General features: G+C 47.7%; 1 protein-coding gene across 22 annotated transcripts in view; it reads left to right on the top strand.

Annotated features, from left to right (window-relative positions):
- The window catches only part of FAM156A (family with sequence similarity 156 member A), a 48,219-nt gene extending 41,279 nt beyond the window's left edge, over positions 1 to 6,940 (top strand). For all 22 annotated transcript variants that reach the window (NM_001242497.2, NM_001242496.2, NM_001242490.2 and 19 more), the window contains one exon: positions 5,489 to 6,940. In NM_001242497.2, the coding sequence (NP_001229426.1) occupies positions 5,606 to 6,247 (642 nt within the window). In that variant the 5' untranslated portion in view covers positions 5,489 to 5,605 and the 3' untranslated portion in view covers positions 6,248 to 6,940. The remainder of the gene's footprint in view (positions 1 to 5,488) is intronic.
- The last annotated feature ends 9,130 nt before the right edge of the window (positions 6,941 to 16,070 follow it).

The following is a 16,070-nucleotide window of genomic DNA, read 5'->3' as shown; positions in this document are numbered from 1 at the left end:
CTGTCTCCAGTAGTCCTTCTCTCTCTTCGGTAGCTGCATGACATGATGCAGGAAACTTGAGGCTGTGGTGTTTCATGCAGAGATTTTTGATACAAGGTCTTTTACCTGGGGGCAAGTGCCTGTTGAAGAAATGACATTGGTGAGATGATGAAGGAAGGGAAGTCACATGTATTGCTGCAGCTGCTCCCCTCCGCACACACAACGGACTTCTCTAGGCCTCACTGTCCTTAATGCCTCTGTCAGGGATCATGAGCAACTCCATGGGTGTGGTTTGAGAATCTCTGGATGAACCTACACATAGGACGGTAAAATGTTTCATTTCACAAAATTGCTGGAGGGAGAAAGAGAGAAAAGAGAGCGATGACTATGCAGGCCGGTTGTCAGTTGATGTCTCCAGAATCTTCCTATTTCTTTTTTTTCTTTTTCTTTTTTTTTTTTTTTTTTTTTTTTTTTTTGAGACAGAGTCTTGCTCCGTTGCCCAGACTGGAGTGCAGTGGTGCAATCTCGGCTTACTGCAACCTCCGCCTCCTGGGTTCAAGTGATTCTCCTGCCTCAACCTCTCTATTACCTGGGATTACAGGTGCCCACCACCACACCCAGCTAATTTTTTTGTATTTTCCGTAGAGATGGCGTTTCGCCATGTTGGCCAGGCTGGTCTCAAACCCCTGACCTCAGGTGATCTGCCTGCCTCGGCCTTCCAAAGTGCTGGGATTGCAGGCATGAGCCACCACACCCGGCTCACATTTCTTCTCATAAAAGTGTTTCTGGCTGGGAACAGTGGCTCACGCCTATAATCCCAGCACTCTGGGAGGCTGAGGCATGCAGATCATGTGGAGCTCAGGAGTTCCAGACCAGCCTAGGCAACATGGCAAAACCCCGTCTCTACAAAAAATACAAAAATTAGCCGGGCATGGTGGCTCACGCCTGTAGTGCAAGCTGCTCAGGCGTCTGAGACTGGAGGATCCCTTGAGCCCAGGAAGCAGAGGTTTCAATGAGCCGAGGTTTTGCCACTGCACACCAGACTAGGTAACAGAGCGAGTCCCTGCCTCAAACAAACAAACAAAACAGCAAAAGAAACGTGGGGGGTGGGGGTCGTAAGGTCTTTTCTCTCTCTGAGAATTGGCTTTCTACATGTAGAAATAGATCCTGAGAGAGTCCTTGTGACACATGAGAATTGGCTGGGAGATAATTGGGTTAAGATCATTTTCCAAACGTTTCACACATTAACTGTTTGTGTCAGATAGTGGTGGCCCAAAGGATGTCAGGGAACTAACTCGTAGGAAAGATAGATTGCAATTTCTGAAAAGTTAAGAACTCTTTCTGGGATGTGTGTGTGTGTGTGTTTATATATGTTTGTGTTCAGTACATATTCAAACTGTTCCTGTTACGGTTCTGTCTTTCTTGCCCCAGTGTGGGCTGATAGCCACGATTTGGTGAATAAACATTCAGAGGACCAGTATCCTCTGAAGAAAACTAGTGAATTCTTGGTTTCCACGTTTGTCAAAAGAATAGAGCCTGGGAGGCTGATCTAAAGTTTCCATTTAGCATTTAATGTCAATTTTTGGTTGCACTCATCCAAGATGTATTTATCAAAACAGTACAGAGAGATACCCTTATCGCAAAATATGCCGTTGGGTTTTTCCACTTAACCTACAGCAAGATTGACTTTTTTCCCTCAGGAGTACAGTTCTGTGAGCTTTGACACGGGCATACATTCTTGTCACCACCACCACAGTCGGGATCCAGAACAGTCCCATCACCGCAGGACACTCCCTGGAACTGCCCCATTGCGGTTACCCCTTCTTCATCCATCATCCCTGGTGTAAAGTGATCTGTTTCCTTCCCTCTAGTTTTGTCTTGGGGAGAGTGTTATGTCAATGACACCATACAGTTTGTGGCCTTGTGAGGCGGGCTTCCTTCTTTTGGCCCGATGAACATCTCGGATGAGTGTCAGATGCCTCTGTCACAGGCTGTTGTTTTTTCATGAAGGCAGTTTCACGGTGTGGAAGACCACAGGTGTTCAGCCATCCTTCTACTGAATGACATTTTCCTCTGTCCAGTGTGGGGCAGTTTCGCATCGAGCTGCTTTTACAATTCAGTGCGGGCTTTTTTGTGAACCTAAGTTTTCATTTCTCTAGGGTAGATACCCAGGAGTGGGATGGCTGGGTCCTATGGTAAACATCTGTTTGACTTACAAGAAACTGCCAAACTGCTTCTCAAAGTTGCTGTGCTATTTCGCCCTCCCAGCTGCAAAGTGTGAGAGTTCCAGTCACCCAACATGTTCTCGCTTGGCCTTGCCAGTCTCCATGGTGTTAATTTGCATTCCCCTAATGCTGAATGATGTTAAATATGGTTTCTTGCGCTCCCATTCAAGTCTTTCCCCCATTTTCTAGTTGGGGTGTTGATTTTCTTATTGTGGAGTTTTGAAAACGCGCCATGTGTTTTGGATATAAGATCTGTCAGGTTGGTGATTCTCAAACATTTCCTCCTAGTGGTGCAGCTTTGATTTTCATTCTCTGAACACACTGGCTCTTACACAGCCAAAGTTGTGTTGTATTGTATTGTGTTGTATTGTGTTGTATTGTATTGTATTGTATCGTATCGTATCGTATATTATCGTATAGTATCGTATCGTATCCTATTCTATTCTATCTATCCTATTCTATTCTGTTCTATTCTGTTCTATTTATTTATTTAGAGACAGGGGCTCGCTATGTCGCCCAGACTGGAGGGCAGTGGCTCGATCTCGGCTCACTGCAGCCTCTGCCTCCTGGGTCGAGCAATTCTCCTGCCTCAGCCTCCCCAGTAGCTGGGGACTACAGGTATGTCCCACCATGCCAGGTAATTTTTGTATTTTTTGGTAGAGACAGGGTTTCACCATGTTGGCCAGGCTGGTCTCGAACAACTGAACTCTAGTGATCTGCCCACCTTGGCCTCCCGAAGTGTTGGGATTACAGGCAGGAGCCACCACGCCCGGCCAGAGCCAGAGTTTTAAATTTTGCCAAACTCCTATCCATCCATCTTTCCTTTCCATGGATCATGCATCTCAGGTCATGTCCTAGCCTCCCCTCACAAAGATGTCCTCCTACGGTTTCTACCAAAAGTCATAGTATTGAACTTTGGCGTGTAGGTCTCTGAACCCTTTTTCCTTAATTGCGTGTAAAGGTTGAGGTTGAGGTGCATCTTTTTGCGTAAGGATAGGCCACCTCATGTATTGAAAAGCTTATCCCTTCTCCATTGGATTCCCTCTCACACCCATGTCAAAACTCACTGGACACATTTCTATGGATGGATTCATGGACTCTATTTTATTCCATGGATCTACTCGTCTACCCCTGTAAGCCAGCAATCTCGATTATTACAGCTTTAGAGCAAATCTGAAAATCTGATAATATCATCTCTCTAAAATACCTTCTGCTTTTTGAAACATCAGATATTCCACGTGAATTGTAGAATCTGCTTGTTTATGCATGCAAATGTCCCTCAAGGATTCTGATTGGCAGGCACTGCATTCATTCTACAGATCAAGTTGGGGACAATGGACTGTTAACTTTTTTGGGTCTTTAAATATGGGAACACATTGTTTCTCTCCATTTAACTAAATCTTCTTTGATTTTTTCATTACCGTTTAATAGTTTTGGGCATACAGACCCCGTCCACGTATTTTAGCTTTATACATAACCATTGCATTGTGTTTGTAGCTTTTGTAAAACAGTATTATTTCTTAAATTTAGGTTTCCAGTTACGCATAGGATTGTTTTCCGTGTGTTGAGTTTCTCTCCTGTATTGCTGCTAAGCTCTCATTAATGAGCACTAAGCTCTTATTAGCTCTGAGAGTCTGGGGGAGATACACTGGTTGTTTCATGTAGACGATCACAGGACCCATGAAAAGGAGTACTTTGGTTTCTTGCTTTCTCCGGTGTGTGCCGTGATTCTTCTGGCATTATAGCACTGACTGGGCCTCAGCGTGACGTTGAATAGCTGTGGTGAGAGTGGACGTCCTTGCCTGGTTCGCATCCTTAGGCAGAAAGCATCCAGTCGTTGACCATTAAGTGGCTTGTTAGTTGTAGGTTTGACTGTACACGCCCTTTTTCAGGTTGAGGAAGTTGTCTTGTGTTCCTAGTGTGCTAGAGCTTTTATATCACCAGTGGACTTTGAATCTTATCAAAGGGTTTTTCTGCATAGCTTGATGTGATCCTGTCATTTTTGTTCTTCATCTGATCTCTCAATCTGTGGGTTACATTGATTGATTTTCAGGTGTGGGAAGAACAACCCTTGCATTCCCGCTATAAAACCCACTTGATCGTGGCTTATTATTCTTCTCACATATTGCTCAATTCAAACTGCAAGGTTTTGTTGAATACTTTGGTGCCTGTACTAGGAAAGAATACTGGTCTGTCCTTTTCTTGGTATCCCTGTGGTGCTGGCCTCATAAAATCAGTGGGGCGCATTCCCTCTGCTTTGTTTCCTAGAAGAAGTTGTGTAAGTTGGTGATATTTCTTCATTAAACGTTTGGTAGACTTGGCCAGTGAAACTGTCTTGGCCCAGAGATCTTTTTGCAAATGTGTTTGCCTGTGAATTCAACTTCTTTAAAACATATAGGACTGTGCACACAGTTCAGTGTTTGAAATCCATCCTGTGTGAGTTTCCGTAGCTTGTGGTTTTCAAGTATGTGCTACATTTCCTCTGACCTGTGGAATGTGAATCTGTAGAGTTGCGTGTATTCTTACCATATTGACCCTTTTATGTTTTCTGGGTCTGGAGTGAAATCTCTTCTTGCATTCCTGATATTGGTAACTTGTTTCTTTGCCCTCTTTTTTCCCAGCCAGTCCTGCCACGGGTGTATCAATTTCATTGATCACTTCAAAGAACCAGCTTTTTTTTTTTTTTTTTTCCTGGATTAATTGAATTCATCTATGTGTTTTTCTGTTTGAAGTCTCCTGGGGGTTTATGCTTCTGTTGTTTAGCAAAATAAATTCTTATCCACACTAGGAATTTGGAAACGATTTCCATAGGCATGAGCAGCCTTTTCGACTAGATGCAAACCCAGTGGTCAGGAAGGCGAACATACAAAAGGGTGTGTCCCCATGGTGCAAACGCTTACAGTTGAGTAAAAGTCTCCCTTGTGAGTGGATGAAAATGAACGCTCATGGGCAGAGCACCTGTGAGTCACACATTGATTATTCTACAAATGATGCTTGGGAAGGGGTTGGAAAATGTCAGCAGGGAATTGACATCGTCGAACTGCATTGCATCCTTTTGCACCCCGTGTCACGTGGATGCATTAATTGGTATCATTTGTAAATCCTTTATTAGATGGCATTAATATTCTAAGCTGGTGAGATGTATGATCTCACGTCATCCTCAGAAGAAGCCTAGGACAGGGTCTCTCTATAATCCCCATTCTACACACAGGAAGTGGAGGGACAGAGAGGTTGAGTAAGATGAATAATTCTGTGTTTTCTTGTCTTATCACCTTGCGTTGCAGTCTGGGTTCTGCCCGCACACATTCCTCGCCACCTTCTTGGTGTCTGAGAACCTCCAGCTTCACCTCCTTTTCTGGACCCGAGGGCCTGGCGGAGCTTCCAGCTGGGACCAGACCTCCATGGATCCACTCCAGAAACGGAATCCAGCATCGCCTTCCAAATCTTCCCCGATGACAGCTGCAGAGACTTCCCAGGAAGGTCCAGCGCCCTCTCAGCCTTCGTACTCAGAACAGCCGATGATGGGCCTCAGTAACCTGAGCCCCGGTCCTGGCCCCAGCCAGGCCGTGCCTCTCCCAGAGGGGCTGCTCCGCCAGCGGTACAGAGAGGAGAAGACCCTGGAAGAGCGGCGGTGGGAGAGGCTGGAGTTCCTTCAGAGGAAGAAAGCATTCCTGCGGCATGTGAGGAGGAGACACCGCGATCACATGGCCCCCTATGCTGTTGGGAGGGAAGCCAGAATCTCCCCATTAGGTGACAGAAGTCAGAATCGATTCCGATGTGAATGTCGATACTGCCAGAGCCACAGGCCGAATCTTTCTGGGATCCCTGGGGAGAGTAACAGGGCCCCACATCCCTCCTCCTGGGAGACGCTGGTGCAGGGCCTCAGTGGCTTGACTCTCAGCCTAGGCACCAACCAGCCCGGGCCTCTGCCTGAAGCGGCACTCCAGCCACAGGAGACAGAGGAGAAGCGCCAGCGAGAGAGGCAGCAGGAGAGCAAAATAATGTTTCAGAGGCTGCTCAAGCAGTGGTTAGAGGAAAACTGAGACGTGCACCCCCATGGGATGGAGACCCGAAGGGACTCAGACGGAGCCGCCGTGTTGGCAGCGCCTGGGTGTGGGCCCATTTTGGGGACCAAACAGCAAGCTGTGGTCGGATGAGTGCCAGGACCTGTGTACCGGGACACGTGGGAGTCCTCCCAGCATGATGCTTGACTGACCCGAGGAAGGTCCTCATGTTTCGTGCCTGTCATTCTCGGATGGCTGTGAGGCATTCCTTGGCAAGGGACGCTGCGTACCAGCGGTCCTCACCGCATCTCACATGGCTCCTGTGATGCATGTTGTCGCTTTCCCACCCGGGATCTCCATCTCTCTTCCCTTCCTGCTGTCAGTAAGAGATCACATGTCTGTGTAGTGTGAATGCCTTGTCGCTGTCCTGTGCTTTTGCACCATTGAGTTGACTGCCTCTGAGAAGCAGCACTAGGCCTGTTGAAATGCAATGTGCTGCCCTGAGATCCAGTTTCAAGAATGGGCAGGTAAACGCAGTGTGGGAAAGGAATGTGGAATGAGAACTTGGTGGTTCACCGCTGTACTATTTGTGTAAATGTTTACGTATGTGATAAGCTACATGTATGTAAATGTTGCAATACCCCTAACAGTCGAGTAGTAGTCTCCCTTACAGGAATTTTTGACGGGGTTCCTCATCATCAATACCAAATAAATATATGTAGGAATGGAAAATGGGTGTAGAATTCAGGTTTGTTCCTCAGTATTGGTTTGTTTCTCATTAGATCTGAGCTGGTTACCTTGAAATCTCCCAGCAGGGGATCCGGGTTTATTGAGGGAAGCTCTGTGCTGTGGAGACTGGGAACGGGGGAGGGAGGGCACCAGAGAACACAGCCCAGTCACTGTTTGAGCCCTGCAGCGGGACCAGCATCGAGACCAGCGAGGCAGGGCCATGGCTTTGAAGAGAGGCTTCCTGTGCACAGGAGACGTGGAAGCAGAGTCCGCCGCCCACGGTGAGAGCCCTGCGTGTTGGTGCTGGTGCCCTGGCTTAGGGGCTGCGGCGCCATTGCTTGTTGTGTGGTGGGCCCGGGTGGGTGAAACTGAGCAGCAGTTTGCACCTGCTTTGTGAGAACCAGAGCATCCTTGGGTTCTTCCAACATCTTATTGGGATTTAGACATGTGTGTCTTTTAATTTCAGGAGGCACAAATGACTAAATCTACCTTTTTTTTTAACCTCTGCAGAATCCTGAGATGTGAACCCAGCCAGTACCCATGTGACTCCTCTGAACTGAAAACAAATTCTGCTTTGTGTCAGTCTGTTTTAGGTAGTCCCCAGAGCTGTCTTGCTGCAAAAGTCTACACATCTCCTGCCGACAGAAGTGGCTTGAAAACAGGTAAGTGTCTTGGATTCTGATGCTGAGATCTCATGAGAGAGTCGACAGTTGAACTGACCTAGCTCCAGGGGAGAAGGGAAAAAAAAGCAGGGCTATTCCTTCTTGAAACACAAAGGCCTAAATGGAGACCAGTGAATCCGGGAGGGTTTCAAAGGGGTTCGAGGCGTTGCCCTTTGGCTGATGTTTCCTAGGGTTCTGATGGTATTTTCCCCATTTCCATATGTCAGCTGCCTTCCTCCACTCCCACACACCCATCCTCTAGCAACATTTTCAGTTCCGCTTTATGAATTTCGAAAGCAGAACACCAGAGAAGTTAGGGAACTAGCCCACGGTGGCACAGGCAGTAAGAGGTAGAACTAGCACCCGAACCTAGGTAGGCTGGGATCGGAGCTGGCCCCCCTTCAGCAGTTCACCTCTGTGAAGGCTGTGGGTGAAGTGCCTAGAGCCGGGCTTTGGTGCTCATTTCATAGCTGGTAGCACCAAGTCTTGGTGAGATCCATTGCTGAATCCTCCACACAGTGCCGTGGGCCAGGTACAACCATCCCCACCTTGTGGAGAGTTTGTGCAGGTCCTAAAGTGGTGGCCAGAGATGCATGCCTTTGTCTCACTCCCCAACCACTCAGATGCTCTCTGCGGACCTTCTCAGTCAGCGCAGCAAGCACACCAGGTCCATGCTGCCAGTGACAGTCATCATTTCAGCAATCATCAGGGTTTCCATTTTCTCACCTTGCCTGTCTCCCTTCTGGGCTACGTCGACTGTCGTGGTGGGGAGGTGAGGAGGAGTTGCAGAGGTAGCCCCGCTCCGGGGGATTGAGCGATTCATCAGGGAGAGAGATCCGACCCCATCTTAGTCTGTGTCCTTCCACTATATCATGAAATACAACAGGTTGGGTGCTCTGGACTGGATATGGTGTGTTTATCCCCACCAAGAGTCAGGTTGAAGTTGAATCCTCAGTGCTGCAGTGTTGGGAGGTGGGTCCTAGTGGGAGGTGTTTGGGTCGTGGTGGGGATCCCTCATGAATGAGTCAGTGTCCTGTGATGCCATCCTGCTGGGCTGAGTTCTTACTCTCACAGGTATGGATTAGTTCGCAGGAGAGTGGATTGTTCACAAGATTCTGGCCTCCCTCGATTCTCTCTCCCTTCCTTCTTTCCATGTGATCTCGTTGCACACGCCGGCTCCCCTTCCACTTTCCACCATGAGTTGAAGCAGCCCGAGGCCCTCACCAGATGCAGTTGCCCAAAAATGAATGTTTCAGCCACCAGAATTGTGAGCCAGATAGACCAACTTTTTCTTTTTAAAAGATTTATTTATTTTAATTTTTTTTAAGAGACCGGGTGATGCTCTGTTGCCGACGAGAGTGGAGTGGCACGATCATGGCTCACTACAGCCTTGAACTCAGGTGGGATCCTCCCACCTGAGCTTCCCAAGTAGCTCAAGGATGTACTGCCATGCCAGGCTGATTTTTAAATGTTTTGTAGAGATAGCGTCTGGCCGTGTTGCCCAGGCAGATCTCGAACTTCAGGCCTGAAGGTGTTCCTCCTACCTTGGCCTCCCAGAATGCTGGGATTAACAGGCATGAGCCACCGTGCCTGGCCTCCCATTTTCTTTAGAAATTACTGAGTCTCAGGTATTCTGTTATAGCAAAGCAAAATGGACCAAGACAGCTGGCAATTTGTAATGGAAACAAATTTATTTCTCGCGACCCTGGATGCTGAGAAGTCCAAAACAAAGGTACCAGTATCTGGTATCTGGCAAGAGTCTTCCTGGTATTTCCTCACGTGGCAAAAGGTGGAAGGACAAGCCGGGGAGAATGTTATGTCCTCACATAGCAGAAGAGGAAAAGAGAGAGCAAACCCACTTCTGCAAGCTCTTTTCATAGCAGCATTCATTCACTCACGAGGGCTCTGCCGTGATGGCCTAAACACCTGCTGTTATTCCACACCTCCCAACACTGTTGCAGTGGGGATTCATTTCACTGTGAGTTTTGGAGGGAACACAAATATTGAAATGCTAGCAGATACGCATCGTTGTGTCAGAGAACAGGTGGTTGATCCCATGTGGTCCCAGTCTCAGGAGATGAAAGGAGTGAGAAGGATCTCAGTTGGAAAAAGCAGGCATCAGGGGCTTGCTCAGGGAAGTCACAGATGCACAGTGCCACAGGGTCTCCAGGAACAGACATGGAAGGTGGGTGGGTGGAGGTAACTGAGGCACTCGGCACACCCTCCACATCCTCACCTCCAGGTCTTTGTCCCTGTACCTGTGTATGGGGGGTGGATGGGACTTGGGGGTCATGTCTGAGACACCATACTATCCCAAGTTACAGACTAGGATCTGCAGTCCTGTGATGTCCACAGGTGTCCAGCATGCGACATTCTAGAGTAGAGACCAAACCAAAGGCACCAGCAGGCGAGAGAGGATTGGGACAGAGAAAGGTGCAAATGCAGTGATCACATGGGACATCTGAGTAGACCCGGAGAATGTAAGGAAATAGAAAGACTACATTAAAAATCTTCCCACTAGGGACAGTCTAGGCTCCACTGCCTCATTGGTGAAGGCTATCCAACATTTACAAAATACATAATGCCAACCCTTCACAGATTCTTTTAGACTATAGAGGAGGGAACATTTCCCAACTTATCCTTTGAAAATTGTATTACCCTGCTACTAAAGGCAGATAGAGGCTGGGCGTGGTGGCTCACGCCTGTAATCCCAACGTGTTGGGAGTCTGAGGTGGGCGGACCACCTGAGGTCAGGAGTTTGTGACCAGCCTGGCCAACATGGTGAAACCCCGACTCTGCTAAAAATACAAAAATTAGCTGAGTATACTGGTGGGCACCTGTATTCCCAGCTACTCGGGAGGCGGAGGCAGGAGAATTGCATGAACCTGGGAGGCAGAAGTTGCAGTGAGCCCAGAGCGCACCACTGCACTCCAGCCTGGGTGACAGAGCAAGACTTGTCTCAAAAACAATAATAAAATAATAATAATAATAATAGTGCCAGAGACAGCAGAAGAATACCATAAACCAATATCCATCATGAATATGCGTGCAAAAATCCCCAACAAAACATTAACAAACCCCAATCCAGCGACACATACAGTGGGTTATGCAACATGACCAAGTGACATTTATTCTAGGAATGCAAGATTGGCTTAACATTCAAATTTCAGTCAAGGTAATCCACCCTGTTAATATAATAGAGGACAGGAACTATATCATCATCTTCATAGACAGAGAAAAGTATTTGACAATATCTGACACCCATTAGTGATAAAATCATGTCTACACAAAGACATGTGCTCAGATGTTCACTGCAGCATTTTGCAGGAAGGCCCCAGGGTGGAAACAAGCCAAATGTCTACCAATCAGTAAAGGGATAAAGAAGTGGTATATCCGTACAGCCGAATGTTACTGAGCCGTGACAAAGAACACACTACTGATGCACGTTTGAGCCTCCAAGACATTATGCTCATTGACAGATGTCAGACACAGAAGACCACTTATTGCACAAGTCAGTTTATAGGAAATGCCCAGAGAGGCAGCTCTAAAGAGAGAGAAAGGAGCTTGCTAGTTGCCTGGGTGGGCCTGGAGGTAAAGTAATGGGGATTCACTGCTGCTAGTGGGTACCAGCGATCTTTCTGGGGTGATGGAAGTATTCTGAAACTGGATAGTGGTGAGGGCTGCAAAACTGTGTAAATTTACTAAAACTCACTGTGTTATTCCCTTTAGGTACGTGAAGTTTGTGGCAAGCAAATTATACCTTAGTAAAGCCATTTAAAAAATGTAGTGCAAGTGTGACCGTAAGTCACGGAGGAAGGGGTATGCAGTCATTTTTTTCTACAACAGTAAGCAACATCCCCTCTCTTTCCCTGTTCCGCATCCTGCCTACATGTCCTGCCTGGTCGCCTGGCTCCTCCACGTGCACTTGATGCTCCAGCCAGATAGACTGTGCACACCTGGGCAGAGGGAGTGCTGGTGAGTGCACATGTCTACGTGTGTGTCTGTGTGCGGTGTGCACGCGTTCCTGCGCAGGCACCCTGTGGGTGCATGCACTAGTGACTGTCAATCCTCTGTCTGTGGGCTGGCTCCCATAATCCATGCTACGTCCTGAATTCCACTGCCGGTTTTTCTGTTCACCAATCTCAAGGACCTGGCTTCAGTTTCTCTGGTAACCAACCTCAGCCCTTAGCTTCAACCTCTGAGCACAGGAAGACAGCCAGAGTGGGGAGGGGTGTTGTCTCACCCACAGGGCCCCTGCCGGAGCTGAGCACCCCAATGGGATGAGTGGCAGCACGGTTACCAAGACAACAGAACTCTCGACCCCTTTCCACCTGCAAGGCTCTTCTCCCTCTCCTGGGCCTGCCGAGCATCAGGTCGGAAAGGTAAAGCTGTGGCATAACCACCCTCCTAAGTCCTTGAAATTGCTCTAGACGTGGCTGTAGAATAAATATGTCAAAAGATGCTCTTGAAAGAGAAGGCAACCCCTACTTTTTTTTTCCCAATTCATTAACTACAAACAAGGCTATGAAGTCCAAGGTTATATTTAAAAATCAGGGCAGGCGAAAGGGAGTGTGTGCTTATGTCTCTCAACGTCAGCTGTGCATCAGGTCTCTCGTGGAGCATTTGTCCAAGAGCAAATGCCGGACCCCATCCCCAGAGAGTCTGACTTAGCAGGTCTGGAATGTGGCCCCAGCATGAGTATCATTTTATAACTCCTCTTATGAAAGACGAGGTGGCAGCTGCAGAAACGGAACCATCCTCATAGGAAGTAAAGCATATCTGAAACACAAGGTCCCTCGCCAAAGGGAAAGCAGGACGTCTTTGCTCCCTGCTGTGCTGGCGGTTTCTAGGGCTAATAGATTTCCCGGGCTAAGGAAAGGTCAAAAACATTCAAAGTAATGTGAGTGCGTGTTTTACAGCTGACACTGTGCTCGCCTTCCTCTATATTCCTGAAATCAAAATTTTCACGTTAACATGCTGCATTTGCCAGTGAAATTTATTGTTGTTTCTGGTGAGGGTCTCCTATGCTCGAGTTCTTTTCTTTTTTTTTTTTTTTAACTTTCCACATACCCTCTTTTTTATTACTATTATTATTATTATTATTAATATTATTCTTATTTTGTGTGTGTGTGTGTGTGTGTGTGTGTGTGTGTGTGTGTGTGTGATAAGAACACTTAGCCAAAAATCTACTCTTTTAGTAAATTTGAAGTATACAATACAGTGTTTTTAGCTATAGGCATTATGCTATGTAGTAGATCTCTAGAACTTCTTTATCTTACATAACTGAAACTTTGCAACTTTGACCATCAACCCTCCATTCCCTGCCCCAACCAGCCCCTGGCAACCACCATTCTACTCTCTGTTTATATAAGTTTAACTATTTTAGATTCCACATATAAGTGAGGTCGCACAGTATGTGTCTGGCATATTCACTTAGCATAATGTTCTCAGGGTCCATCCATGTTGTCACAAATGTCAGAATTTCCTTCTTTTTAAGGCTGAATAATATTCCATTGTATGTATATACCACATTTTCTTTATTCATCCATCAATGAACACTTAGGTTGTTCTTATATCTTGCTTATTATGAATAGTGCTGCAAAGAACATGGGGAGTATCTGGACTATCAATACCCAGAAGTGAGATTACTGGATCATATGGTAGTTATTTTCAAGGTGAGTAAAACACTGCATAGATACGTTCACGAGACATTGCACAATCATTCCTTGAATCTAGAGATGGCTCAGATTTGTATTAGCTGATGTGGATGAATCAGCTCCCAGGCTTACTTATTGTGTTGAGATGTATTTTTCACATGTTATTATAATTAGTGATATCAGATTAATCCTTCCGCTTAAAGGGCCATATAGGACTAGGAAATGTACGATGAAAAATACAATTCAGCAGTCCCTTGTTTCATGTGGTGCACCCGTGGAGACCCACCTCCGCAAACTTCTCTTTTTTTTCTTCAGCTATTTCTTCTGAATATTAACCTCTGTGTCTCTAAATGATGGGCTCCTACTGCTATGTCCCGATTTAGGGATTTGGAGGTTATCTGCTGAGTTCTCGGAGGAGATGAGCATTTCGGTCTCTGAGATACATTACAGGGCCCGGGTCTGCTCTTTGGCCTTCCCTGTGGGGGCCACCCAAGCCAGGGTCTGGGCCTCCACTCGGATGCCTGTAGAGAGTCTCTGCCAATACAAAGCCTTCACGGGAGACTCTTTGCTCATCTGTGGCAATGTGGAGGTCATGGTTGGCTTTTTCCAGAGGCTTGCAGCAGAGTCACGGGGTGATCTGCAGCCAACCTGGCAGTATTCCTAGGTTCTGGGGTTCAGGAACTGAGTGGATGGCGGTGCCAACCCATGAGACAAGGGACACAGTTGGGGGTCATCCGCTGATTTGTTGGGCTTGTGGGATATCTGAGTGGACATGCTCCTGAAACCATGCCCTGTGGGGGCTCTGGGGCTCAGCTGGGATTTTCCTGGTGGAGTTCGTGATGCAGGAATCCATCAGCACACAAGCGGAGAAGGACGGAACCAAGTCTGGGTGGCCATGTGGGCACCCAGGGTCACCTACAGAATGAGGAGTGTCCAGGGCAAAGGTCGCAAGAGGGAGGAGGAGTCCTGCTGGGGGAGCACAGAGCAGTCTTGTGATGAGAGTGGTGGACCTATGGGGCTTGGAGTTGGGGTGATGGAAGGGGCTGGGTACATGGGGGCACTTGGTCTGGAGATTCACACCGAATGCCTGGTGTGAGGAGGTTTCTTTGCTTGGGACCATAGAAGCACGAGGAGCCATCAGAAGCCAGAAGAGGTTGTTCGTGTCTGTGGCCCTGGCCAGGATGGATTTCCAGCCTCTGTAAACCTAAGCCCTATCGTGAGAGTGGCCTCAAAGTGTTATCCCTCGTGGTGAGGAGGCTGTGCTTTTGGGCCCTTCAAGGGAGGATCAGAGAGACTTAGCCACAGGGTGACACAACAGAACTCCCCTGGGAGTTCTCCATGGGAACTGCGAGGGGCCCCGTGTTCCAGTATTCTTTGCAAATGCAAGGAGAGCCCCGAGTCTGGAGGTTCAGATATCTTGCAGCGAGCCACCTGTACCAGGCCGCCATAAATAATGGTGGGGTATGTTCCCCAGTGAAGGAGCAGGTGCGATGCAAGAAAGATTCCAGCCACCACTACCTGGCCACAGCCCAGGTGCCGTCGGGAACTGAAGGTCTTTGTCAAGGAAACTCGTCATTGCAAAGCTCCTTAAACTCTCTTTGGGCGGTGGGGGGGGGGCAGTCTCCGGGTGTCTACCTGGGTGGTACCCCCTATAAGAAAAGGGGACCACATGAGGCATGAATGTGACAAGAGGAGAAGCACGCCCTTCCTCCAAATTGACCCCTTTAGAGATCTCAGGATGAGACACAAGGGCCCCGGGAGCCTCTCTGGGTCTGGTTCCTGGTGTGCATTTGCCAGACTCTTCGGCCTCAGAGCGCTGCTGGGGCGTGAAGAAGTGCTGTGGAAGTCATGATTTTCTCAGCGTCAAGAGCCCAATCAGGATCTGGAAGTGGTGGAGTGGCCTCGGAGTTCCAGGTACTCGAGAGGCTGAGGTGGGAGGATGGCTTGAGCCGAGTTCAAGGCTGTAGTGATGTATGTTTGCACGACTGCACTCCAGCCTGGGTGACAGAGCAAGACCTTATATCAAAAAAAAACAAAACCGAATCAGGCAATGCGTATATAAATGTTTTCTAAATCTTACAGCTCCACGTGAAGTAAGAGTGCTATTACTGATTTTGTTTTTGCTGTCTAACTGTGGCGGCTGCTTCTATTAGTAACCGAGTTCTATTATTAAATGAAAACACTCAATGGGGCCCAAGACAGCTGACTCGCCCCGGGGTGGAGAAGCGAGACCTGCCCAAAGGGCCATGCCAGTGCACTAGGGCGCATGGCGTCTGTGAGAAATGAGGAGGTTCTGCCTTGGAGAATGAGTTTCTGCCAGGATACAACAATGGGAGACAATTCTTGGGTCTGTCAGGAGCCACTGAAGTTCTCCCCTGTACCTTTCAACTCTTGGGAGGAAACTGGCATTATGTACATTTGAAAGAAATAGGAAGGAAAAAAGCCCTCCTTCTTTTAATAAGAAATTTTGGCTTGCTGCATTTGCTCCAGGCGTCATTCTCTGTCTGTAGAAACATTGTTTCACTCCACCCTCCAGGGCTCAGGTCCTGGGAAGTGGGGTCTATCTTAATAAAGAACACTGGAGCCCGGCATGGCTGGGGATGTCAATGATGGCCCTGAAGGAGGCCCTGCTCACCTCGGTGACACGCTCATTGGCTGCTCCACTCTCTGTGTGTGTCTGGTTTTCTCCTCTTTCTGTGCTCTGTTTGGGGAGGGTCTATTTATGGGGAGTTAATATCATCTCAGATGATTAAAGAAGAGGTGGCAGCCATGCACACTGGTACACACCAGTAATCCCAATCATTTGGGAGGCTG

Source organism: Homo sapiens, chromosome X (genome assembly GCF_000001405.40).
Source record: "Homo sapiens chromosome X, GRCh38.p14 Primary Assembly".
Lineage (NCBI taxonomy): Eukaryota > Metazoa > Chordata > Mammalia > Primates > Hominidae > Homo > Homo sapiens.
This window is presented reverse-complemented; position numbering and strand designations above follow the sequence as displayed.